General features: G+C 43.8%; 1 protein-coding gene across 13 annotated transcripts in view; it reads left to right on the top strand.

Moving 5' to 3' along the window:
- TEX2 (testis expressed 2) overlaps positions 1-27,668 on the top strand; it is a 116,034-nt gene that overhangs the window by 64,811 nt on the left and 23,555 nt on the right. For 7 of the 13 annotated variants that reach the window (XM_017024846.3, NM_001288732.2, XM_047436397.1 and 4 more), the window contains exons 3-7: positions 3,355-3,555; positions 4,561-4,891; positions 10,035-10,282; positions 20,979-21,125; positions 27,251-27,350. In XM_017024846.3, coding sequence (XP_016880335.1) covers positions 3,355-3,555; positions 4,561-4,891; positions 10,035-10,282; positions 20,979-21,125; positions 27,251-27,350 — 1,027 coding nt within the window. Of the gene's footprint in view, positions 1-3,354; positions 3,556-4,560; positions 4,892-10,013; positions 10,283-20,978; positions 21,126-27,250; positions 27,351-27,668 lie in introns of all 13 variants that reach the window. The other 6 variants (XM_011525000.3, NM_018469.5, XM_011524999.2 and 3 more) reach the window with 1 other exon arrangement.

Here is a 27,668-nt window from a genome sequence, read left to right as displayed (position 1 = left end):
CTTCATGGATTCTTCTTGGTTTTAGTAGCTCTGCAAGCATAAACAACCTCTGAAGTATCTTAGAAAAACGATTATATCTGCTTCAAGTTCTTTATTAATCTAGTTGCCTTTAGAACTTTAGCCCTGGTAAACCTGTTATATATGTAAGACAGTATTTTCTGCAACCAAATTGAATAAGAAGAAAGCTGTGTGTTCTGTGTCAGGAGATCTTTGGTGAAAATGGTTGTGCTTAAAAAGACAAATAAATATATTTATAGAAAACCCTACTCAACAGCAGAATGCATTTTTTTTAACTGCACTTGGAACCAAGATAGACCATATAACAAGCTTAAAAGAATTGAAATTATACAAAGCCTGTTTCCTATTATGAAATTACACTAAAAACCAGTAAGAGAGATATCTGAAAATTTCTCAAATATTTGGAAATTAAGCAAAATACTTCTAAACAGCCTGTGGGCCTAAAGATAAAGTCATAAGGGAAAATAGAAAATATTTTTAACTGAAGGAAACTGAAAATACAACCTATCAGAAATTGCAGGTAATACAGTGCCTAGAGGGAAATTAATAGTATTAAAAGCTTGTTAGAGGATGGGTGTGGTAGTTCATGCATGTAATCCCAGCACTTTGGGAGGCCAAGGTGGGAGAACTGCTTGAGACCAAGAGTTCAAGACCAGCTTGGGCAACATAGCAAGACTCCATTTCTACAAAGATCTTTTTAAAAAAATTAGCTTGGTGTAGTGACACGTATCTGTAGCCCTTGCTACTTGGGAGGCTGAGGTGGGAGGATTAATTGAGCCCAGGAGTTCCAGGTTACAGTAAGTTATGATTGTGCCACTGCAGTACAGCCAGGATGACAGAGAAAGACCCTGTATCAAATACATAGATGATAGATACATACATATATACATATATATGTGCATACATACATACGAAAAGAAAGATTTGAGAGAAGCACAAATTACCAGTGTCAGGACTGAAAGAGGGGGCATCACCATAGACACTACAGATATTCACAGGATTATAGGGAAATATTGTAAACAACATTATGCCCAGAAATTGGACAACATAGATAAAATAGATAAACTCTTTGAAAGATACAAACCAAAGCTTACTCAAGAAGAAATAGATAACCTAAATAGTCCAATAGCAAGTAAAGAAATTGAATTCATAGTTTGGGACCTTTCTGCAAGGAAAAATCTAGGCCCAGATAGCTTCATGGGCAAATGCTATCAAACCTTTAAGGAAGAAATATTATTAATTCTACACAAACTTCCAGAAAATAGAGAAGAGGGAACACTTCCCAAATGCACTTACCTGCATTTTCTGAGGCTCATTAATACCAAAAAACACTGCAAGAAAACTATAGACCATTTTCCTTCATGAACTTAGAGGGACAAATGAACAAAATATCAGCAAAGTGTTATGCTGGTAAACTGGCTCTCCAAAAAAAAAAAAAAAAAAAAAAAATCTTGATTTGACTATTCCCTGATTTCCGTGATGTAGCAACTCCCACTGTTGCCAGTTGAAAGCTACCAACGTGAAGTCACTGAACATGGAGTTAGGAAGAGATGTGTAGAATCCGTTCTTGTGAGCTGATACAGCCCAATTTCAGCACATCATGACTCATACATCCTTAATCCTGAGAATGCAAGACTGGTTCAACATTTGAAAGTCAATGAATGTAATTTGCCATAAGAACAGACTAAAGAAAAAGACAAAAAAACTGTGAGCCAAAGAAAGTACTTAGTTCTACATTTAGCAAAAATACACCCACCCAAACGGATGCTCTGACAATACAGTCCACTTCAGGCCCCACTGTGATCTGTAATTGTCATCTTTTTCTCTTCATTGCTCTGATTGTTGCTGTTTCCTCACAAACGCCTCTTCCCATGGCCACTGCTTGCTCACTCAATATTGTTGAATAGATGCTGCTCCTGTCCGGTCATTCTTTGGGAGGAGGGAGAGAACCTCCCAGCTCAGGCCAAAACATCTACTGAGGTATATAAATCCATATAATTGGCTCATAAGTTTCACACTCTTTCCCCCATGACAAAGAGATATGTTTGTCCATTTTTCCTTCCACTTCACACTTAGGTGCTCTGTTTGTGACAACTTGTCTCTATTATGTTTACTACAGTGGGGTCATAGGATACGGGAATGAAGACCTAATTCTCTACTCTTTTGGAGGCACCTTTGGATCAAGAATCCTGTCCTTTTAAAAAATCTTTGTCCCAACTCCTAACCCATTGCTTCGCACATAGATTCAATGCGTGTTTTAATAAAAGGATGAATGAAAGAATTCTGAGGAGTCCTCATTCTCATAGGCTTTCAATTCAAGACTTTAGTGTGAGACTCAAATACTTAGCATGGAAATGGCTATTGCTTGAAAAGAATGACAGTCCCAACTCCCATGTAGTGAGCTTTAGCATCTCTCTGCTCATTACAAAGACATGTATTTTTAAAAAGTTGGGGAGAGTAGGAAGATATCAATTAAAACTCCCCAGAGGACTTCTTTTGTGAGATCTGGGCTACTCATAACCTGAAAAAGTATTTGAGGCAGGAGAAGTGTTCAGTGATGAATGATGATGACAGCTATGAGATTAGCTTTAACACAGTGTATAGTGTATTAGGCTTTTGTGTATGTATTTTTTGTCATACATTTCAGTGTTGGCTCTTTTAAAAAATCAAGATATGTAACACAAAATCATTTATGTCCAATTTGGCAGGGGGACCTGGAGCACAATTTTACCCATTTAAGTTACTATGTATCTTTGAATTTTGATATATTATTGATTATATTTACGATGTATTTAATGCCTAATTCTCAATCATCTGCTTTACTGCATGGTTTCAATGAGGTACATATTGTAGTGCAACAGAAGTGGAGAGGTAGTTCTCTGAGTCCTGTGATAACATGAATTAATACCTGAAATTTCAAAGATTCCAACTGGGCTGGGAAGAGCATGTGTTTAGCTAATTAAGAAGGCCAGACTGGGTGGGATTAATCACCCCAAAGGAGGTCAGGCAGAGAGGCTTGCTCAGTCACATGAACAAATCTTCTGAGTTTCCTGATGTGCTTATAAGCTTTAAAAAAAGAAAGAACCTTTTATTTAGGATAATGAACATTGCCATTTTTCCTCCAAATCCAGATTTTTGGTTATCAAAAACCTCCTCAGTTCCAGTTATCCTCCCAGCTAAGCACTTCTCTTTGCAACCTGTAGTCATTGGTGAGCTGATATCTGTGTCGTGATCAAGTTTGGTTTCAGTGTCCCAAATACCACAGTGTTCATCATTTCACACTAAATCAGATTTGCGATTATTCTGATATTACTAATGGAAGTTTTTCTTCATCAGGGATGGATGAATGAGATTTACAACTATGATCCAGAAACCTACCATGCGACTTTGACACATTCAGTCTTTGTTCGACTTGAGGGTGGAACCTTAAGACTTTCAAAGCCCAATAAAAATATATCCAGGAGGGCCAGCTACAATGAACCCAAGCCAGAGGTCACCTACATCAGCCAGAAAATCTATGACCTCTCAGACAGCAAGGTGAGCCTGAGCAATTTTGGAAGGATAGCTTAGATGAATGAAAAGCATATGGCATCTTGGATGCTTAACTGCATTTTTTTATACCCTAAAAAGGTTTGTGGTCGTTGAACAGTATACCTTAGGGGACAGTACCTCTCACACTTTAAAGTTTATGCACATCACCTGGGCATCTTGTTAAATGCAGATTCTGATTCAGTAGCTGTGGGCAGGGCCTCGGGCCTGCATTTTTATGAGCTCCCAGATGATACTCAGGCTGCTGGTCCACAGACCACAACTTGAGGAACAAGTGTTGTGCACTCAGAATTCTGCCTTTAAAAGCTAATTATTTCAGTCAAACAAAAAGCTGTGTGGCTATGTGTGGTGATTCTGCGGTACTTAACTATTGAAGTCTTTGTACATGTGCAAATGATAGATATGCAAAATAACTACATTTTGATTAAGTATTATATACTTCTATTTTTGTGAGAAATGTAAATTATGTATTCCACAAAGCTATTGTTTCTCTGTTCTTACAGTTCATCTGAATGATCTTTAGATTTCTCCAATGTGAGAGAAGTACTTAAAATAGTTTTTATATAAGTTTATTCTTAACTTGAGTTTGATACTCAAGGTTGACTTTAGCTTCCCATCTAGATTTTAGCTATCTTTTTTTTTCTTCCAACTTAAGTTTGGTCCAAGGTCATTAAATTCAGTTGATAGCCAAACATAGTTGATGATAAGCAGCTAAACATTATTATTGTGCTACTGCCACCTGAAAATTACGGATATTTATAACTCTCGCAAAATTATTAAATGCCTACTTTGTGGAATGATTTTGAAGAATAACAAGACACTTCTGAAAATTCCAGTTTCTGTAGTCATGTTATGAACAAGTGTTGAAAGTTATTTCATATTCATCATTTTAGTCAAAAAGTCTATAAGGTTTGCACTTTGTGCTATGCATAATATTAATGCATAGTGTAGCCAATCTTTAATATATAAATCATCATTTTTCTTTCTCTGTAGATTTATCTTGTACCTAAAACTTTGGCTCGAAAGCGAATCTGGAATAAAAAGTACCCCATTTGTATCGAGCTTGGTCAGCAAGATGACTTTATGTCTAAAGCTCAGACTGATAAGGAGACTTCAGAAGAGAAGCCGCCAGCTGAGGGAAGTGAGGACCCTAAGAAGCCACCCCGCCCTCAGGAGGGAACAAGATCTAGCCAGCGAGATCAGATACTCTATCTCTTTGGGAGAACTGGCCGAGAAAAAGAGGAATGGTTTAGGAGATTTATTCTGGCATCTAAGCTAAAGTCGGAAATCAAGAAGTCATCGGGTGTCTCTGGAGGTAAACCAGGTAATGATGTTTGTGCTAAATGCTTATGCATTTTTAAAGGGCCACTAGGGAGAATAGAGAAAGAATGCCAGGTAGGAAGGAAGGAAGGAAGGAAGCCCACCCTGAACTGATGGTTGTCTGCCACCTAATGTGCATTCTCATGACTCATTTACCATCTAGGCTGATCACTGCAGCCGTCTGTCCCAAATCATTTAACCAATGATGGATCCATTTGCAGATGATGTTTATTAGCCTTTGCTGGTTATGTTTTATTTGTATATAATGTGACTCCCCTGAGAGAAGCAGCAACAGAAAAACCCTGGTTCTGAGATGGCAGGTGAGTCAGGGAGATCCTTCAGGCTGGTACTTTCGAGCACCTGACCCTCAATATGTCTTCCGAGCCTGAGCTTGCCATAGAATGCAGAATCCTTGCACTTCCTGACCATTCAGGTCAGATCGTGGTCATTCGGATTGATAACCATGCAGCACCTCTTTGCTCAGCTTTGGCTGGGCTTGGAGCTGCAAGAGACACAAAACCAGTAAAAAGCAGTAGCTCCCCTGTCCTTCAGGTGTTGTGCCTGTTATGCAAAACTGGCACGTATGAGTCAGGTGTTCACAAATTGCCATGCTAAAATGAGTGTGGTGTAACAAATAATTGGGACAAGACCAGTGTGGGTGTTATTAGGGAAAGCTTTCTTACATGGATCTGAAACAAAGACTAGGAGGGAGCCACTCTGGGGCTTTCTCTAACAAGGCATTTGTGTTGATCCGGGAGTTATGCTGGTCACATGAGTGTCACACATTGCTTCAGAGTGCTTTGGTTCCTTCCCCTGGAACATAATCTGAGCCTTTGCCCTAACTCCTTTGCTAACCTTCCATTCTGTCAGCTTCAACACCAGATTCCATCCTAATCCCAGCACTGAGATCTAAGAAGTCCCTTTTAAGAATCAAGACGAATGGGGAGATTACTAGATATATTTATTTCCTAGGGCTGCTGGGACAAAATACCACAAGCTGGGTGATTTACAACAGAAATGTATTCTCTCACAGTACTGGAGGCTGGAAGTCTGAAATCAAGGTGTTAGCAGGGCCATGCTCCTTGTGAGACTCTGCATAGAATCCTTCCTTGCGTGTTTGCAGCTTCTGGTGGTGACCATCAATACTTGGCCCGCAGCCGCATCACTCCACACTGGCCTATCATCACATGGCATTGTCTGTCAGTGGCTCTGTGTCTTCTTGGAAGGACACCAGTCATATGGGATTAGGAGCCCACCCTGTTTCTAGTATGACTTTATTTTAATGAATGGCATCTACAATGACTCTGTTTCCAAATAAGGTCACATTCTGAGATACTGGGGTTAGGACTTTAACATATTTTTTGGAGGACACAATTCAACCCATAACACTGAGTAAAAGAAAATTCAAGTGGGTAAGAACTCCTCAGCACCAGGCACTGCCTAGCTCTCCTGGTAGGTCTAAACCTGTGCTGCTTCTTACGGTAGCCACCAGCCCCATGTGGCTTTTGAACACTTGAAGTGTGGCCAGTCCAGATGGAGGTGTGCTCTAAGTATAAGATGCACATTGGATTTCAAAGTCTTAGTCCAATAAAAGAATGTAAAATATCTCATTAATAACTTCTTATATTGGTTACATGTTGAAATAATATTTTAGATATATTGGGTTAAAAATATATTCAAATTAATTGTATTCTTTTTACCTTTCTTTTTCTTTCTTTCTTTTTTTTTTTTTTTTTTTTTTTTTTGAGATGGAGTCTAGCTTTGTTGCCCAGGCTGGAGTGCAGTGACACGATCTTGGCTCACTGCAACCTCCGCCTCCCAGGTTCAAGCAGTTCTCCTGCCTCAGCCTCCTGAGTAGCTGGGATTACAGGCACCCGCCATCACGCCCAGCTAATTTTTTATATCTTTAGTAGGGACAGGATTTCACTATGTTGGTCAGGCTGATCTTAAACTCCCAGCCTCAAGTGAACCGCCCACCTTGGCCTCCCAAAGTGCTGGGATTACAGGCGTGAGCCACTGTGCCCGACCTCTTTTTACATTTTTAAATGTGACTACTAGAAAATTTAAAATTGTTTATGTGGCTCAGATTGTATTCCTACTGGAAATATAAAGGTCTACTGGTCTAGGCACTGAAGCTCAGAATCAGGTAACCCACGGGGGTATATGGGGCCACCAGGAAACACCACCTTAGGTACTTAGGGGCCCCCCAGAGCACCTTCAAAAGAGGCATGTTATTCATGGACTTAAATAAAGCATTTGATTATTTTTAACGAGTTCAATTTTTGGAAATCCTGCCAAAAGTTCCACTCAGCACACAACAAACATAATGGTAAGAGTCAGAGATGTGGGAAAACCTTCAGTGCACTCACTGGTACTAAAGCAAGGCTCACACACCACTAATGTCTTCGTACATCTGTAAGTCTGGGTTGCCTTTGAAAGCTATGAATTGAGATATTTATGGTAAGTTTAAGCCACCAAAAGTGTGATTAAACTAGTAGCAAGGTAAATTGGTGAGCACTGTGCTGTTCTTCAAAACCATCTCTGAATCAGTGACTACATAGGTGGTCAGCCGTGAAGGTAGGACTGGTCTGATTCTCTGAGGCCAGGTACATCTATCAGTACCAAGAAGTTAGAAGTCTTCCTGCTCGACGACCTGCCCTGTCCTCTCCCTCAGGGATGCTGTCACCAAAATCATAGATTTCTCTAGCAACACGGATTGTGCTTCTCAGACTTGAATGTTTGACGGGATCTTAAGATGCAGGTTCTGACTCGAGGTCATGGGTGGGGCTGAGATTCTGCATTTCCAGCCAGCAGTGCCCAGGCTGCAGGTCAGGAAAGGCCTCCCGGAGGAATAAGAATCTGGAGACAGCAGGAAAGCCACATGGTCATTTGGCAGAATTCCAGTATGGTCTCTGCACAGGAAGGTCCTTGACTTTATCAGGGGCTATTGTCCATGAGACCCACAGTGCAGTGACGACTCCTGTGCTTTGTCCCACTCAGGGGAAGGGTGAGGTGATGTGAAGAGGCTGTTCTGTGGGCAATGAGCACCAGCCAGGCCTCGTAGGGGGTTCCTTTCCTCCTCTACATGGAGTGTGGCTCAGTCACAATGGGATCAGTTTGGTTTGAAGTGTTGGTATCATGCTGCCCTGTTTATTTCATCTTTTTTTCTCTTTTTTACTATTAACTAAACTGTAATCTTTATTTGGATTTCACTGGTTTTTCTACTAATGTCCTTTTTCTCTTCCAGGATCCAATCCAGGATATTAAATGTAATATTAGTTTACATCTATTTTTTAATGTTTTTGATGTAGCTTTTATCCTAGCAATTAAAAAAATGCTAAACATGAAAACGGTATAAGGATAATAAAAGTTACAAAAATGTATTTTTATAGTTATGCAGTGTAAAATATTAAAGTGCTGGAAATTATCTGGCTAAAATTTAAATTAAGAAATGGCTTGCGTGACCCTTTGTGAGGCTCTGGGGAATTATGGTTCTGATGGTTGGAGCCTCTTAAGAAGAAAATGGTTTGATTTGATTTTTTGATTTCTTTCTTTCTTTCTTTCTTTTTTTTTTTTTTGAGACAGAGTCTTGCTCTGTTGCCCAAGCTGGAGTGCAGTGGTATGATCTTGGCTCACTGCAACCTCCGCCTCCCAGGTTGAAGCGATTATCCTGCCTTCAGCCTCCCCCAGTAGCTAGGACTACAGGTACAGGCCACCATGCCAGGCTAATGTTTTGTATTTTTAGTAGAGATGGGGTTTCATCATGTCGGCCAGGCTGGTCTCGAACTCCTGACCTGAAGTGATTCATCTGTCTCGGCCTCCCAAAGTGCCGAGATTATAGGCGTGAGCCACCGCGCCCAGCCTGGTTTGATTTTAACCACTTTACGTTTCACCTGGCCATCAGAGTAAATCTAAATAAAATTGTTAGCATCAGGCGCATCCCATGCTTAAAACCTCTGGCGCAACAGGGTCAATATTAAATTCGAGGTTGGCTTTTGAGGCACTTTGCAGTCTGTTCCTGGCTAATCTCTCCATCCTCATTTCCTATCCTCTGCCCCCCGTACTATGCTTAGAACTTCACTGAATCTCTCACTGGCCTCCAAACATACTGTGCCCTGTCACTGCTTTTTGCATATGCTGCTTCCTGTACCTGGAATACTCTTCCCCACCTGGGCCAGGAAAATGGCAACTATTCCCTCAAGATACAGCGTAGATGTCACTGCTGTGAAAGTCAGCTAGGGTAAGCACCGCTCCAGTCTCTTGGGCAGAGGTAGTCACCCCCTTCTTTTTGCCCAGAGAGTCCCTTAGTTGTGCTACAATTTTGACACTTGTTACAGAAGATTGTGATTTATCTGCTTAGGTGCGTGAGTTCAAGGGCAGGGATTATGTCTTCTTTTTAGCATGGTGTGCTTGAAAGTGCTTGATGCATAATTTGTCGAATGAAAGACATCTTTGGAATTGCTGTGAGCTTGTGGATGAACAATTAATTAGCTCTCTACCCACTTTCCATTTACCCCTGATAGCACTGACAAGTTCGCCACTACTTGGGATGTGTTGGTCCTATATTTGACCTTTTCCTAAAAGATCATCAGGAGAAAAGAGAATAGTACCTACCAACTATATTTCTTTACTTCCATTACTCTAATTATCTTGGAGAGGAATAAAAACCGTTCTTAAAAATTACCTTAGAGAAAAAGGTACTTTTCAGGGTGGGAAATAAACTTATAAAATTTTTTTTTTTTTTTTTGAGATGGAGTCTCGCTCTGTTGCCCAGACTGGAGTGCAGTGGCATGATCTTGGCTCACTGCAAGCTCCACCTCCTGGGTTCACACCATTCTCCTGCCTCAGCCTCCCGAGTAGCTGAGACTACCGGCGCCCACCACCACGCCCGGCTAATTTTTTGTATTTTTAGTAGAGATGGGGTTTCACTGTGTTAGCCAGGATGGTCTCGATCTCCTGACCTCGTGATCCGCCCGCCTCGGCCTCTCAAAGTGCTGGGATTACAGGCGTGAGCCACCATGCCCAGCCCCTTATAAATATTTTTAAACAGTCATTTGATAGCATTGTAGCTGCTTTTCTCAGGGAGTCCGCTTACTTTGCAGTTGTTTTCTTCATTGTGTGAATAGCCCCCGTCTTCTTGGCTCCAGGGCTTTTGCCTGCACACAGCAGACACAACAGTCCGTCCGGGCACCTGACCCACAGCCGCAGCAGCAGCAAAGGCAGTGTGGAGGAGATCATGTCACAGCCAAAGCAGAAGGAGCTGGCAGGCAGCGTGCGGCAGAAGATGCTTCTCGACTACAGCGTGTACATGGGCAGGTGTGTCCCCCAGGAAAGCCGAAGCCCCCAGAGGAGCCCCCTGCAGAGTGCGGAGAGCAGCCCCACAGCTGGGAAGAAGGTAAAGCTGGCTGCTGGGCCGGACCTTTTTCACTTTTCGACTTAGACACATTTCTTCATGCGTAAGTGCTCCGAAGCCCTGTTGTGGGCACTGGGATAACAGTGGTACACAAGACAGAGAAGGACCCTGCCTTTGGGGAACTTGTAATCTACTCAGGAAGACAGCAAGAAACAAGCACCAGGTGGTGGGAAGAATGAAAATAAAGTCAGACAAGGGAGGAGGGGAAGTGGCCAGAACTGCTATTTTATTTATTTATGTATTTATTTATTTTTAATTTTAAAAAGTTTGTACTGTTTTTCTCTGCTATTTTGGATGGGTGGTCAGGAAGGGCCTCTTTGAGGAGGTGACTTTTGGGCACAGACCTGTTGGTCACGGGGGAGTGAGCCATGGTGATGGGTGTGGGAGGAGCACTCCAGGTGGGAAAAGCAGCAACCCAAGGGCCCGCTGTAGGCATGTGCTTGGAATATTCGAGGAACAGCAAGGAGGCCTGGCCGGACAGTGAGCAAGGGAAATGGGGAGGTAGGGAGGCTGGAGGATCAGGATGGGAGGCCATGGGAGGGTTTTGAGCAGGGTATGATGTTGACTGATCTAAGTATAAAAAGATAAGTGGCTCTTGGTGGAGAACTGGCTGTAGAGGGAAAAAAGGAGTGGGAGGTGACTGTCATAGTGAAGGCTGGATCAATGTGAAGGTAGTGACAGTAGGTGGTGAGGAGAGGCTCGGCTGGGGTGTGCTTGGCAGGAGGCGCTGGCTGGATTTGCTGACGTGAGAGAACGCAGAGGCCAAGATTTGCACTTTGACCTGAGCAACTGGATGATCACTAGGGGTTGTTGCAGAATCACTGGTGATTCAGGTCTCATTCCTCCAAAACCATTGTATTTTCAAATTCTCAGTCTCCTCGGCTATGCCCAGTGCTTTTGAAGATTTACCATGAACATTCTTTACAAAGTGTAACCGGACACGGACTTAGGATCATCTCTGATAAGATAACTCCTGTAAGCTGCCAGATGCCAGGCTCTGTTAGGCACTTTAATAGAATTACTCTGCTCTCTTGAACAGTCCTGCAAACTAGACAGGATTGTCTCCATTTTGTAAGCGGAGAAACTGAGGCTTGATGAAGTTAGGTAGCCTAGTCACACAGTTGCTAAGTGATGGAGTGTGCAAACCTCACCTGAGAACCCAGGGGCCCCTTGGCTCGCTGAGACTATTTTGCTGGGTTATTCTGAAAGCCTGCTTGGCCTGAGGCCTCCTGCCTCTACTTTGCACACTCTTCAGAGTCACAGTCTCTGCCTGGGGGACACTTAACCTCTCTTTCATATCCAGGTGTTTGACCTCTTTTTTTTTGAGACAAGGTCTCGCAGTGTCACCCAGGCTGGAGTGCAGTGTCGTGAACATGGCTCATTGCAACCTCGACCTCCTGGGCTCAAGTGATCCTCTCACCCTCCTGGGCTCAGCCTCCCAAGTAGCTGGAGCTACAGGTGTGTGCCACCATGCCCAGCTAATTTTTGTATTTTTTGTAGAGATGGGGTTTCACCATGTTGCCCAGTCTGGTCTTGAACTCCTGAGCTCAAGAGATGCACCTGCCTCGGCCTCCCAAAGTGCTGAGATTACAGGCGTGAGCCACCGCCCTTGGCTGTGTTTGACCTCTTACAATGACCATGTGTATTTCTGTTCTTAATGAGAAGCAAGCCATTGCTCTTGATCCGTTGATCCTCTTCAGTGTGGAAGAGGTCACTCACCTGATCTGTTTGAATTTGTCAGGGCAATAAAAGACCATATGCCTCTGCTGGCCTGCGACCCACTACCTCTGCACTGAGTCACCCCAGCTTTAGTGGGAAGCAGACCTCCCTCTAGGCAAGAGTGGGGTGATATAAAACTTTTCTACAAATGGTCCTGTTTACCACTGGTGAGTTTCCCCTCCCTCCAAATGCGAGGCTGTCAGCTGTCTGGACTCTCATCAGACTCAAGAAAATCAAGAGGAGAATTGTGCACTGACGTTAAGAAAATTATCCAATAAAATGCTTCCTTTTGAAAGATTTCCCCAAATTAAAAAACAAACCTGATTTTAGAGCTTTGTTTCCTTGGTTTGTGTTACATGTGCATATTGTATGCTATGTTCACTGGGGTCCCTGATGTCACAGCCCAGCATTGCTGTCAGGGGCTCTCTTGTTCCAGCCACCTGGCACTTACCCTTTAAGCACCCAGACATTTCTTTTCCCTCTTCTAAGTCTGATGACTTTTTTTTTTGAGATGGAGTTTTGCTCTTTTTCCCCAGGCTGGAGTGCAATGGCGTGATCTTGGCTCACTGCCATCTCCGCCTCCCAGGTTCAAGCAATTCTTCTGCCTCAGCCTCCTGAGTAGCCAGGACTGCAGTCACACGCTACCACGTCCGGCTAATTTTGTATTTTTAGTAGAGACGGAGTTTCACAATGTTGGCCAGGCTGGTCTTGAACTCCTGACCTCTGGTGATCCACTCTCCTCGGCCTCCCAAAGTGGTGGAATTACAGCGTGAGCCACTGTGCCTGGCCTCTGATGAAATTTTTTTTTTCTTTTTTTAGTTGGAGTCTCACTCTGTCGCCCAGACTGGAGTGCAGTGGTGCTGAAAATTTGAATTAGAAAATATCACTATTTTGGGGGGCAAGGGCCTAGTTTTCCAAATGTTTAGTGCCTGGTTTGGAAGGGGATTTAATTCAGGAAACAAGGGAACTCTTTTTTAAAAAATGTCTGAAAGTGCAATGGTACCACTTCCAGCATGGGTACATCAGGAAGAGAGACTCCACAGGTCAGCTGCAGATTTGCTCAGGGGTGTGAGTCCAGGGAGGCTGCTGGTTCTGTGTGCCCTGCATTGCCTGCCTGGGAGAGAGGCCATGGTTCCTGTCCTCCAGTAGTGAGGCTCTGGTGTTCAGGTTGCATAAGGCACTTCCACTCTCCATTTCAACAGACAGTTTTAAAAAATGTTAGAGATAATATTAACATATGCCACCCCGGTATGGAGAGTCCTGTCCTTATTACTACTCGTCGTGCTCATCATCTCATATCTATAAACTGGATTACAAGATATTATTACCTGTTTGGTGTTATCAGAAGATGAGAATGTTACAGAGCAAATAGGAGTCAAATAGAAACCAGGAAGTCTGTAACTGGCAGAATAGTTTTCCAGGGCTTCCCTTGCTACCCCCACAAAGTAGGCTTTTTAAACACTTAGAAGTTGAATTGGAAAATGTTTTTGTTGCACTAAGTTAAAAAATGAAGCTATATATCCAATTTAAAAATAAATTTTAAAAAGAATTCAGACAAGAGTGCTAAAACAAATCAGTGGAGAGAAAGAATAGTCTCTTCAACAAAGGTGCGGGAACAACTGGATATCTATGGGCAAGAGAATGGAGCTGGCCCTCTACCTCACACCATACATAAAAATTAACTCAAAATGGATCATAGACCTCAATGTAAGAGCTAAAACCATAAAACTCTCAGGAGTAAAATTTGTGACTTTGGGTTCGATAAACCTTCTTAGCTAAGATACTAAAAGCATAAGCAACCAAAGAAAAGATAGGTAAATTGGACTTCATCAAAATTAGAAACTTTTGTGCTGCCAACAATACCATCAAGACAGTGAAAAGATAACCCACAGGATGGGAGAAAATGTTTACGAATCATTTATCTGATAAGGTTCTGGTACCTAGAAATATAAAGGACTGGTACCTAGAAATGTATAAAGGACTCTTACAACTCAATAACAAAGAGATAAATAACCAGATTAAGCAACGGGGCTGGGTGCAGTGGCTCACGCCTATAATCTGAGCACTTTGGGAGGCCAAGGCAGGAGGATCACTTGAGCTCAGGAGTTTGAGGCCAGCCTGGGCAACATATTGAGACTCCATCTCTACAAAAAAGAAGAAAAAAAAAATTAGCCAGACATAGTGGCATGTGCCTGCAGTCCCAGCTACTCAGAAGGCTGAATCAGAATTGCTCGAGTCAGGGAGGTCAGAGCTGCAGTGATTAGTGATTGCACCACTGCACTTCAACCTGAGCAACAGAGCAAGACCCTGTCTCAAAAAATAAAAGGGTAAAGGATCTGAATAGACATTTCTCCAAAGAAGATACACTAACGCCCAAATAAGCAAGCACATGAAAAGATGCTCAGTATCATTAGTCATCAAGGAAATGTGAATCAAAACCACAGTCAGATGTCACTTCACACCCACCCAGATGGCCACAATGAAAAAGACAGATGGTGGCCAGGCACAGTGGTGGCTCACACTTGTAATCCCAACACTTTGGGAGACTGAGGCGAATGGATCACTTGAGCTCAGGAGTTCGAGACCAGCCTGGGCAAGATGACAAAACTCCATCTCTACCAAATAAATAAATAAATAATAAAAATTTTTAAAAAGATAGATGATAACAAGTATTAGTGAGGATGTAGAGAAATTGGAATCCTTGGCCGGGTGCGGTGGCTCACGCCTATAATCCTAACACTTTGGGAGGCCGAGGCGGGTGGACTGCCTGAGCTCAGGAGTTTGAGGCCAGCCTGGGCAACATGGCAAAATCCCATCTCTATTAAAAATACAAAAAATTAGCCAGGCATGGTGGCGCATGCCTGTAATCCCAGCTACTGGGGAGGCTGAGGCACGAGAATCACTTGAACCTGGGAGGCAGAGGTTACAGGGAGCCAAAATCATGCCGCTTCACTCCAGCCTGGACAACAGAGTGAGACTCTGCCTCAAAAAAGAAAGAAAGAAAGAAATTGGAGTCCTCATACGTTGCTGGCAGGAATGTAAAATAGTCCAGCCACTGTGGGAAATAGTTTGGTATTTCCTCAAAAAGTTAAACAGAGTCACCATATGAGCCAGCAGTTCCACTCCTAAATATATATCCAAGAGAAATGAAAATACATGTTTACACAAACACTTGTACACAAATATTTATAGTAGCATTATTCACAATAGCCAAAAGTGGAAAATGGTGGGGCACAGTGGCTTGCGCCTGTAAGCCCAGCAGTTCGGAAGGCTGAGGTGGGTGGATTACTTGAGGCCAGGAGTTCAAGACCAGCCTGGCCAATATGGCGAAACCCCATCTCTACTAAAAAGACAAAAATTAGCCGGGCGTAGTAGTGCACGCCTGTAGTCCCAGCTACTCGGGAGGCTGAGGCACAAGAATGGCTTGAACTCAGGAGGCATAGGTTGCAGTGAGCCGAGATCACACCACTGCACTCCAGCCTGGATGACACAGCAAGACTCTGTTTTAAAAAAAAAAAAAACACAACAAAAGTGGCAAACAACCCATATTTCCATTAACTGGTGAGTGGATAAAGTGTGGTATATGCATAGATGATAATATTATTATGCAATAAAAATAAGTTTATTATGCAATAAAAAGGACGCACTGCTACAACATGGATATGCCTTGAAAACATTAGTGAGGGGAGTCAGTCACAAAAGAACACATTGTATGACTTCATTTATAGGAAATGTCTGGAATAGGCAAATTCATAGAGACAAACTAGTTTCCTAGACTGGTGGGCAGGGGGATGGGGAGGAGTTGGGGAGGAATAGGGAGTGACTGCTAATGGGTACAGGGTTTATTTGGGGAGTGACGAAAATGTTCTAAAATTGACTGTGGTGATAGCTACACAACTCTCAATATACTGAAAACTATTGAATGTACTCTATTTTTAAAAATTATTTTTGTGGTAAAATACATAAAGTTTGCCATCTTAATCATTTTAAAATGTATAGTTCAGTAGAATTGAATACATTCATAATGTTATGCATTGACCCCCACCATTCTCTTCAACTTGTATAATTGAAACTCTATACTCATTAAACAGTAACTCCCCTGTCCCCCTCCTCCCAGCCCCTGGCAACCACCATTCCCTGTCTCTCGGATTTTGACTATCCTAAGTACCTCATATAAGTAGAATTATACAGTATTTGTCTTTTTGTGACTGACTTATTTCACTTAGCCTAATGACCTCAAGATTCATCCATGTGGTAGCGTAAGTCAGAATCGCCTTCCTTTTTGAGGCTGAATCATGCTCCATTGTGTACGTACGCCATTTTGCTTATCCATTCCTCCATCGGTGGGTGCTTGGCTTGCTTCCACATTTTAGCTATTGTGAATGATGCTGCTCTGAACATCAGTGTACACATATCTTGTTTTGAGACCCTGCTTTCAAATTTGTTGGGGTATATAGCCAGAAGTGAAATTAGTGCATCTTAAGGGTAATTCTGTTTAAATTGTTTAAGGAACCGCAATACTGTTTTCCACAGCAGCTATGGAAGGATGGAAAAATTGTATGATCTATGAATTATATCTAAGTAAAACTGTAAAAAAAAAAAAAAATACAAAACCAGCCGGGCATGGTGGCTCACACCTGTAATCTCAGCACTTTGGGAGGCCGAGGCAGGCAGATCACCTGAGGTTGGGAGTTTGAGACCAGCCTGACTACCATGGAGAAGCCCCGTCTGTACTAAAAATACAAAAAATTAGCCAGGCGTGGTGGTGAATGCCTGTAATACCAGCTACTTGGGAGGCTGAGGTAGCCTCCCTTGAACCTGGGAGGCGGAGTTTGCAGTGAGTCGAGATCGCGCCACTGCACTCCAGCCTGGGCGACAGAGCGAGACTCCTTCTCAAAGAATACAAAACCATGTAGCCAGATCTAATTTTGCTTTTTTTTTTTTTTTTTTTTTTTTTTGAGATAGCCTTGCTCTGTGGCCAGGGTGGAGTACAGTGGCACGGTCTCGGCCCACTGCAACCTCTGCCTCCTGGGCTCAAGCGATTCTCCTGCCTCAGCCTCCTGAGTAGCTGGGACTATAGGCACGCACCACCACACCCAGCTAATTTTTGTATTTTTGGTAGAGACGGGACTTCACCATGTTGGCCAAGATTGTCTCAATCTCTTGACTGCGTGATTTGCCCGCCTTGGCCTCCCAAAGTGCTGGGATTACAGGCATGAACCACCACGCCCGGCCTAATTTTGCTTTTTAAAAGTTCTGTATTCTTAAATGTATATATACACTGAAAAGAGACTGAAAGAAAATATAGTAAAACTGTTTTAAATAATGTTTAAAATGTTTTAAATCTGAGTAGCAGGTTTATGGGTGTTTTCTGCAGTGAATATGCATTGTTTTTATAATCAAGGGAAAGAAACACACAGGAGTAGGGTCCTCCGCTGTGTCATCTCCTGGACCACACTGTCCCTTGTGCAACCCCCCTGGCGGTACACTGGGTGCGGCCAAAAAGGAGTGGGGGCACTACACACTCTTTGTAATAGAAAAACTGGGCTGGCCTCCTGGCCATTTGTAATAGGAAATGTTACACCACAGACTTCAGTAAATCTGTCCTACTTTAGTTTTAGAGGTTAGTTTTAAATAACACATATCCCAAGAGTGACGCAGTTTTGATGGGCTTGCTTCAGCTTCAAACCATTGAATTTTCTCTACACTTATTTGGAAGCCATTTTTGGAAAGTTACCATTTCTTAGTGTGTTTATACAGTTGAGACAGCGAAATGAATATCCTCCACACATTTCATCCTATAGCCAAATGGCAATATTAGGAAATGTATGCACATTGTTTCTTTAAACTCTTAAATTTTTATGACATTCGTTGGGCCTTCCTAGCAGGCTGTTGAATCCAGGTTTTGCTCATAAAAGCTTCTTTGATGCATTATCGATGTTCTGCTCTGGAATTTTTCTTTGTTCCCAATGAGTCTGTGGAGAGAAGCTTATTTTGGAAAAAGGAACTGTTGAAAAAACAACCTGCTTGTCGGTTATTTCAGAAATTTGTTTACCACATCATATGCCATTGGCTTGGACATACATTGTGAAATAGCCTTTGTTTCTTGCTATTTTGTGCTAAAACTGTTTCCTGTGAGTAACTAGGGTTGTAAAGAAAGGCTAATAAAGGGTAGATGCTCCCTCTAGGGAAGGGAAAAAGTAACTTATTCTCTTGTATAACCTACAAATCTAAAATAAGACACGTGGTGTCTTACGTGGGCAGCAACTTAGTACTGTCTGAGGGGCCAGGTGGTCATTGCCCTTGGATGAGTGTTTATGCAGAAGTCTGTATAAATAATCGGATGGGACTCAAAGACAGTAACCTCAGAAAAGCTGAATGAATTACCCTTGGGGCTGGGAAGGAGATGTTCAGTCAGAGAAAAAAGGGATTCAAAAAAACAGTGCAAGTTATGGCATGGCCAAGCATTCACCGCTGCAGACTCTTGCCCTTCCATCCAGGACCTAGTGGTGGAAAATGTCTTGGTTAATGACAGAAAACGTCACAGCACTCGAAAAGCCCAGAGAGAATAATCCATGTCCATTAAGAAGGGTGAAGCAGATCCATGTCTTCTGAAATGGGCTGACCAGCATGCTTTCTTTTTTAAACCATTTTTTTTTTTAAATGAGACTCACCAACGTTCATAAAGGAGACCTTTGAAAACTCAAATGTGAAGGACTCCTGTAAAATATAAAGTCATGCAGTGACATGTGATTGAAAAACGTAAGCGAACCCTAGGCCCCCAGCAAGAGAGGGCACAGGCTGTGGCAATGTATGTGGAGTTGGTTCCTGCTGGTGGGTTCGTGGTCTCACTGACTTCAAGAATGAAGTCTCGGACCTTCATGGTGAGTGTTACAGCTCTTAAAGGTGGCACGGACCCAAAGAGTGAGTAGTAGGAAGGTTTATTGTGAAGAGCAAAAGTACAAAGCTTCCACACTGTGTAAGGGCACCCAAGCAGGTTGCCGCTGCTGCTGGCTAGGGTGGCCAGCTTTTATTCCCTTATTGTCCCTTCCCATGTTCTGTTTTTGTCCTATCACAATGCCCTTTTTTCAATCCTCTCTGCGATTGGCTACTTTTAGGATCCTGCTGATTGGTGCATTTTACAGAGTGCTGATTGGTACATTTTACAGAGCGCTGATTGGTGCGTTTTATAGGGCACTGATTGGTGCATTTTACAATCCTTTTGCTAGCTACAGAGTGCTGATTGGTACATTTTTACAGAGTGCTGATTGGTGCATTTTACAATCCTCTTGTAAGAAAATTTCTCCAAGTCCCCACTCCACCCAGGAAGTCTAGCTGGCCTCACCTCTCAGCAAGACTGGCAGACGGGTGGGACTGAGCAGTGTGCTGGCTCAGGCACAGCTCAGTGACTGGTGAACACCAAGCTTCAGAATGAGTGCACGGAGCTATGTGCTGTAGACCTTGGGAGTACTCACAAACAATTGGATCTGCAGATTCAAATCCATACACACCAAGCAACAACGTGTGCACCACAGCACTGACCCAGGCACACAGCTTCAATGTGGGCACAGTCACAGCTGCTCAGAATGGATAGCACTGGCACGAATGCACAAGCACAAAGCGTGGAGGTGATGAGAGTGTCTGGTGTGTGTTATAGCTGCAGCCAGCCCATGAGGGCAGAACAGATGCACTTATAGTAGCCATAGAGGGAGGGGAAAGGGGGAATAATTCACAGATTCTGCATTTCTAAATCTTTTCATCTTTGCTTTCCAAAGCTCATTGTTTCTGCAAGGCTACAGTCTAATTAGAGACCTCAGCACAGGAAAATGTCTGCCATATCAGGGGGCCAGCTCCCCTTCCCCCACCCCCACCGCCACACACAGGACAGAGCAGATAGAGGATGGGAGAACAGGACTGTGTGTCAGGCGCTGCACTCATTTCTAAAATGGAAGTAAAGTTCCTGTCTTTCCAGGGTATTGTGAGACATGAGTGGACCTGAGACAGGAATGTGCCCATAGGGCTGGCATGTGGTCAGTGGACAGCTGCTACATTACTGAGCTCTCAGCCCGTGCCTGCACCAACCACATAAACCTTACAACACCGTCTGTGGGTGCTGCTGTTTACCCTTCTTTATCTCCATCCCTGACCCCCTCCAGGCCAGAGTGCACAGTCTAATGATTAGCCAAGGAAATCGGAGACTTGGGTTTACTTTCTCCCCCACCTCACACATTGGCCACAGCAGATGCTTCAGATGGATTGTATCAAATGGAAGTAAGGATCAGGGTATTTCGCTGGGCCGAGATTGGTGAGAACAGCTGTAGATGTTTCATGGAAGCCCTGAGAGCAGCTCTCTCTAATCCAGATCTGTGATTCATCGTCTTGCCTGTTCATTACATTACCAGGGGAGCATCTGAAACTCCTGATGCCCACTGAAATCAGTGACTCTGGGGGTAGGATCCAGGCATCAGTATTTTTAAGCATCCCGGGAATATTTTGACCTCACAGGGTTCAGGCTGAACTTGAGTCCTGGCCATTGGGGAACTGTGGCGTCTGCCCGGATGAGCACCAGCTTGACAATTACACGTCCAAGCCTTAGCTTGAAGAAAGATGGGCAGGCATTTTATCAGATGTGTCACTGATGCATAATGTTGATACCAAGCTAATTTGGACGCAGAGCAGTTTGGCTAAGCTAATAGTATGAAATATTAGCTGGTTTACAGGAAGACTGGTAGAAAAAGAAAACAGACAAAGAGAAGGTTTTAGCTGTGATGGCAGCTTTCGTTTCTCCCCTTTCCTAGTCACCAATACAATGTGGGACTTGTAATTTATAGGGAAGGAGTATGACTCGTGTGGTCTCCTGTTTCTATAAGGAGGGACCTTCAGTGACTTTATAAAAATAAGCACCTGTCTTATTCTCCAGTTGCTTTCTAGCTAATTTTGGTCCCTTTTCTTTTGCCAGTTGCCAGAGGTTCCACCCTCTGAGGAGGAAGAACAGGAAGCCTGGGTGAATGCCTTGCTTGGAAGAATATTTTGGGACTTCTTAGGAGAGAAATACTGGTCTGATCTGGTGTCTAAGAAGATCCAAATGAAACTCAGCAAAATAAAGGTATCACTTTCCACACAAGAGGCTTCTAATCCTCTATACTTCTTCATTTCTGGAAATTTTGTACCCTTATGTCCTAAGTGAAAAATAATTTGGTTTAAACGTATAACATATGAGGGTAGTAAGTTCTCAAACAGCACATCTGACCTTGATCACAGACTGACCTTATGATTAATTGCATCTGGGGGCTTAGTGAACATTAATGTTTACTCATTTTCTTGTGTTGCCCTCATTGTTATCCACTCCAGGTGATAATCCAGAATTTAGTTTGGGAAAATGTGAGCTCTTATAACCGATTCGTCTTATATAATTGTTATTTTTAAGTTGGAAATGAACTTAAATTGTACATCCAGAGCCCACCCAGCCCCACAGCAGTCTAGGCCACATGGTATATCCTCTGAGGAAAATACAAATTACTTAAGGCCTCTTAGTATACTCACTGAAGAAAATGCTAGACTACTTAAGGCCTCTTAGTATACTGACTGAGGAAAACACCAGACTACTTAAGGCCTCTTTCCCAGGCTGTGCTCCCTCTCAAGCTGGGAAAGTTAGCATTGCACTTTAAATGTGTCTGTGTTTGACCTTTACTTTTTGGCCAGATGGTACTTTATTTTGGGCTCTCTCCTGAAGAAACACTCTGGTGCTAATCCAGGGCCAGTTGGAAGTGAGTTTGAACTGTGTAAGTATGGCTGTCATTAAAAGACTCATTTGCCAACCAGGAGACCTTATTGAGGATCTTGAGGTTCTTTAAAATTAACTTTTTGACCCAGTGAAGACCCAGCCAAGAAGAGTCACTTTGGATCCCAAATTTTCACTGAACAGTCAGTAGCTTAAGTCAGTAGCCCTGAAGTTGTATGGATCAGAGACATTTTTGAGAAGCAGAAGCCTATGATATCCTTTCACTAGAAAAACACGTTGACACAAAATTTTGCCCATTATTTCAGAAAGTTCAAGGACTCTAGATTAAGAAACTGTGAACTACGGTAAACTAGATTAGAAGGAAAATATGGGCATAGAGGAGCTTCAGGTTGATTTCTTTTGTTCCTTTGGGTAAAGAACAGAGCTTTTCCTGGCCTTGTCAAGCTCTGGCTGCTGTCTGTGGGCCAGTGTCCCTTCTTCCCCAGCTCCTGAGAAAGAGGAAGGAGGGGCTGCCTTCTGAGCCAGAAGGGTGGATTTCAAGGCAGATTTTGGGGGAGGGCTCTGTTGACAGGTGTCAGCCTGTTTGTGTTCCTGAGGTAGTTTGAGGGTTGAACGTGCTTCTGCTAGCCAGTTCCATAGCAGGAGACAACAAGTAGCAGTAACCCTCTGTGTTGGGAGATGCAGTGTCAGCAGCCAACCTAGAGCTCACTCAGCCTCTCCCCATTTTTGGAAATGATGGAAGGCTTGAGTTCCCAGGTCAAGGCATATGGGTAGGGCTGGCCCTGCTCTTTTCCCAGGGTCTATCTCGAGCCCTTCTGTAAGCAAGAGGGGCCCTTCCCTGAGCAGCAGGGCTGCAGTTCTTGGCAGTGTGCAAAAAGAAAGCAGGACATACTTGAACTCCAGGTGGGATGCTGCTCCCCTGCTACATGCATTCCAAAGCTGACTTGAGCCAGGAGTGCTGGTGCACACCTGTGGTCCCAGATACTTGGGTTGCAGAGGCAAGAGGATGACTTGAACCCAGGAGTTCTGAGCTATGATCGCACCACCAAACTCCAGCCTGGGTGACAGAGCAAGACTCTCATCTCTAAAAACAACAACAACACCAACAAAACCAAACTGGTTTGAGAGGTCCCACCCTTCTCTCTTGAGCTGGAAGTCCACAGAGCCTCTGCCCTATTTGTGAAGGTGCCCCCGTCCTCCTGGAGAAAGTTGAGGGAAAGTCTGTTTTCATTTTCTCCCGTTGATAATCATGGAGGCACTGGTAGTTCACAGACTTAAACTTCCTTTTGTTTTTTGAGGTCAGAAGTACTAAAAGGTTAGAATGGAGAAGTGTGGCCTAGATCCAGCAGTGCCAGAGGCTAGAGGTGGGCATTGTGTTCCCTCAGTGTGTTCCATCCATACCCTCCACCCGCCTCCTGATCTGCTGCACTGTGAAGTGCCTGCAGACCAGAGGAGCCCCTGGTTACAGAATAAACAGGAAAGCAGAAGGACATTACCAAATTCTGAAGCTGTCACCGCCCCTACGAAAAGAACTGATTGCCACCAAATATCCAAGTACCCCTGGGAGGAACTAAGCCTTAAGCCTAGTAGTGAGTGGGTATTGGTTAATAGCCAGTCAAGAGCCAAAATGGGAATAGGGAAGTGGTATCTAGAGGAGCCTGAGCTTTCCCCTGTGACACAGATCTCCCTGATCCCCTGGTTTCCCTGGAAGGCCTGACATATGGAGAACTCTTTGCTGGCCTTGCCCTGTAGTCTCGGATTGTCAGCCTTGCACATGATCATGACTCATGTTGTGAAAAAGCAGCCCTGTGTGTGCAACTGGTGCCCAGTGATGGGTTTAAAACAAGCTGAGTTTCTGCCCCAGTAGTAAGTGTGCTCTTGGCCTTAGCCAGCTGCTCAGATAACCGCCCTAGGGCCCTCAGTGGTTATGAGCCTCTTGTGCCTGTGTCAGCAAATGTTGCTGAGATCGCATACAGCTTCTAACTTAGCACCCACCAGCCTGAGAACGTCCCATACCCTTGAATGCCTAGTCCCTAATTGGGTTTACTCCAGAGGGTAAAGAATGTGCCCCTGGATTTCTGTCTCACTGTGGTACCCTTTGGGTGGGAAGAAAACAGTTTATTGTCGAAAAGAACAGGAGGAATGACCTTAACAGAAGAAGGCTGCTCAAGGGCAGGGATGTGAACTAGGAGGGGAGTATATGAGTGCTGGAGGGTTGGTTATAGATGTTCTGGGGTCTTCGGGTTGGATAGATGGGCAAATAAATAGGAAACCAGGCCCTCTGATCTCCCCTCCCCATTCTGCTTACTAGTAGGTAGACACCTTCCCCTGCCAAGTCCTCCTCAGTCCCCAGGTCCTTCAGGTCCCTCCTTTGTCTCAGGTCCTGTCTCAGGTCCTTCCTTTGCCTTTGCAGGGACTAGAGGTTGCAGAATGGCAGGTAGTGGTTGACAGGGGAAGAGAAGGGACAGTTATGTTCCTGCTGTCTCTTTATTCACTCCTGTGGCTCAGTGTCAGACTGACATTCCCATAGAAACACCGTTGGATGTCTGGGCATGGTGGCTTATGCCTGTAATCCAGCACTTCGGGAGGCCGAAGTGGAGGAAATCTTGAGCCCAGTAGTTTGAGACCAGACTAGGCAACATAGTAAGACCCTGTCTCTACAAAAAAAAAAAATTATCCAAGCGTGGTAGTGGTACATGCCTATAGTCCCAGCTACTCAGAAGGTTGAGGTGGGAGGATCGCTTCACCCCAGGAGGCTGTGGCTTCAGTGAGCCATGATTGCACCACTGCACTCCAGCCTGAGTGACAGAGCGAAATCCTGTTTCAAAAAAAAAAAGAAAAGAAACACCATTGGAGGTGACAGTATTCCCTGGCTCACCCTTGGAAGTCTCTCTAACTTGGCATGCTCCTGAAGCACAGCATTTGAATGACAGTAGTGGACAAAAAGGACAGGGCAATTGTGCAAGACTTTGGTTACATTCTTAGCCAAGTAGCATTTTATAGGTTGGTAGAGAGGCCAATACCACTTATAACATTGATGCTTTGGAAAAAGGTTCTCCAAATATAGCAAACACCAATTCAAAACTATGCCTTTGAACACTGTCTACTCACGTTTTGTTCGTCATAGACATTATAACCTTTTTAACATCCCCTCCACAAAAAATCAGAGATTACATTCTCTGATTGGTGAATCCTGAAAGCTTATGTTTCTCTGCAGGGAAACAGCTGAAGAGGTCCAGCCAAGTTAGGTATTAAATTCATGCCTGACTAGATGCTACCTCATTTTATGTGGAATATTTAGTTTACATTTAATTTTTAAAAACCTCTTAATTTTATTCTAAATTTTATAAAACTATTGTAACATTCAACTGGAAAAATACTTATGAAAATAACTAAGAGAATTCTGGGAGAAAAAAAAAGGAGAGGGACTTGCCAGATTTAAAAGTATATTATAAAGTTAAAAGTGTATTATAAAGCTAAAATATATTATAAAGCTAAAGTAGTCAAAGCAGTTTGATACTGGTAGAAATTCAGTACAGACTCCAGTGCAGTGGGAATTTAGCACTTAAAGATGGCGGAACAGATTAGTAGGGCAAGTGTTGGTTGCTGAATAAATAGGTCGAGATTGCTGACCAACCATTTGGGGGAAAAATTACACTAGATCCCTAATTTACATCTTACATTAAAATTATGAATGGAATAAATATTTTAAGAAATACATATACATCCACAAATCCAAGCAGAGAAAATATAGATGAATTAATTCTATAATCTTGAGATGAAGTAGGAATTTTTAAACATGATGCCAGTATTCTTATGTTATTTCCTGTAGAATAAATTCCTACGGATAGATTTGGGGGTGTGTATTAGTCAGGGTCCCAGCAGGAAGCAGATGGCACACTCAGATAAGTAACTCTGGGGAGAGTTTGCTGAAGGGAAGATTTATAAAGGTGTGGGCAGATGGAGAAAAACTCGTAGGGAGAGTGCTACACTCCAGAACTAGCAGAAGTGGGAGCTGTTACTCTCTCTGGAGCAGCAAAGGCAAGGAGAACTTGGACAGGGCAGCTGTGTGGAGAGGCTTCCTGTGTTACAGGAGCTGTGGCCTTCAGTAGATGGGGGGGACAAATGCCCAACACTCTTCTCCGTGTGCCTCCCCATCAACTGCCCATTGGTGTATCCCATTGGCCATGCCCAACCAGAAGCTGGAGGGTAAAAGAGACCGTTGGCACAGTTCACGCAGACCAACCACTGGGGATAGAGTGTAGATCTGGCAGGGCAAACAGAAAATGTTCAGCATGAGATCAAAGGATGTGCTATTTTTCTTTTTTTTTTTTTTGAGACGGATTCTCGCTCTGTCACCCAGGCTGGAGTGCAGTGGTGCGATCTTGGCTTGCTGCAACCTCCACCTCTCAGGTTCAAGCAATTCTCCTGCCTCAGCCTCCTGAGTAGCTGGGACTACAGGCACGTGCCACCACACCCGGCTAATTTTTTGTATATTTAGTAGAGACGGGTTTCACCGTGTTAGCCAGGATGGTCTCAATCTCTTGACCTCGTGATCCGCCCACCTCGGCCTCCCAAAGTGCTGGGATTACAGGCGTGAGCCACTGCGCCTGGCCAGCATGTGCTGTTTTTCAAGGATTTTCATACACATGTAAGTTTGCCTATCGGAAATGTAGCAATTTCTCTTCTTTTCTTTTTTTTTTTTTTTTGACGCAGAGTCTCGCTCTGTCCTCCAGGCTGGGGTGCAGTGGCACATTCTCAGCTCACCGCAACCTCTGCCCCCAGGTTCAAGTGATCCTCCCACCTCAGCCTCTCCGAGTAGCTGGGACTACAAGTGCATGCCACCTTGCCTGGTGGATTTTTGTATTTTTTGGTAGAGTTGGGGTTTCACCATGTTGGCCAGGCTGGTCTCGAACTCCTGACCTCAAGTGATCCATCCACCTTGGCCTCCCAAAGTGTTGGGATTACAGACATGAGCCACCGCACCTGACCTTGTTGTAGCAGTTTCTTACTACCCACTGAGAGTCTGAGAGAGGTCTGTTTTCCCATACTTCAGCAAATGTGGGGTACTGTTAACCAGCATGGCTGGCTCCTTCTCCATAGGTGGCCTCTGCTCAAATGCCACTCCTCAGGGAAGCCATCCCTGACCTCCTCAGCCAAAACAGCCACCCCCGTGTTCCCTCTGCCCATTACCTGCTTGATGTTCTTTGCAGCACTAATCACTCTCTGGAAGTATATTGTCTATGTATTTACCTGTTTCTGCCTTTCTATTATAAACCCCGTGAGAGCCAGGCCCTGGCCTGACCTCTTCATGGCTCTGTCTGGAGTACGAAGCCTAGTACATGATGTGTGCACATTACGTTTTCGTTACATAAATGATATGTCCCCAAAACCTTGGCCACCATCCTCTCCGGAAGCATGTTGACTTGCAACAGCATGTTTTGTAGGTTGCTCATGGGTCTCACTCATTGTTTGCTTGTTTCCTCTAGCTCCCCTACTTTATGAATGAGCTCACTCTGACGGAACTTGACATGGGCGTGGCTGTGCCAAAAATCCTCCAGGCCTTCAAGCCTTACGTTGATCACCAAGGTAACTCCTAACTGACCATTCTATGAGTGTTAAAATATATCCTTTGCTGCAGATTCAGTACCATGATGGCTTTGTGTTTGGAGGGTGTTGAGGACTTTTTAAATCATCTGTTTCATGTTGAGTGTCTTTCTGTTCTTACCAGTCATGGCCTTAAAACTGATTTGGGGCCGGGCATGGTGGCTTACGCCTGTAATCCCAGCATTTTGGGAGGCCAAGGCAGGCGGATCACCTGAGGTCAGGAATTCGAGGCCAGCCTGGCCAACATGGCAAAACACCGTCTCTACTAAAAAAGTACAAAAATTAGTCGGGCGTGGTGGC

This window comes from Homo sapiens, chromosome 17 (assembly GCF_000001405.40).
Source record: "Homo sapiens chromosome 17, GRCh38.p14 Primary Assembly".
NCBI classification, from domain to species: domain Eukaryota; kingdom Metazoa; phylum Chordata; class Mammalia; order Primates; family Hominidae; genus Homo; species Homo sapiens.
This window is presented reverse-complemented; position numbering and strand designations above follow the sequence as displayed.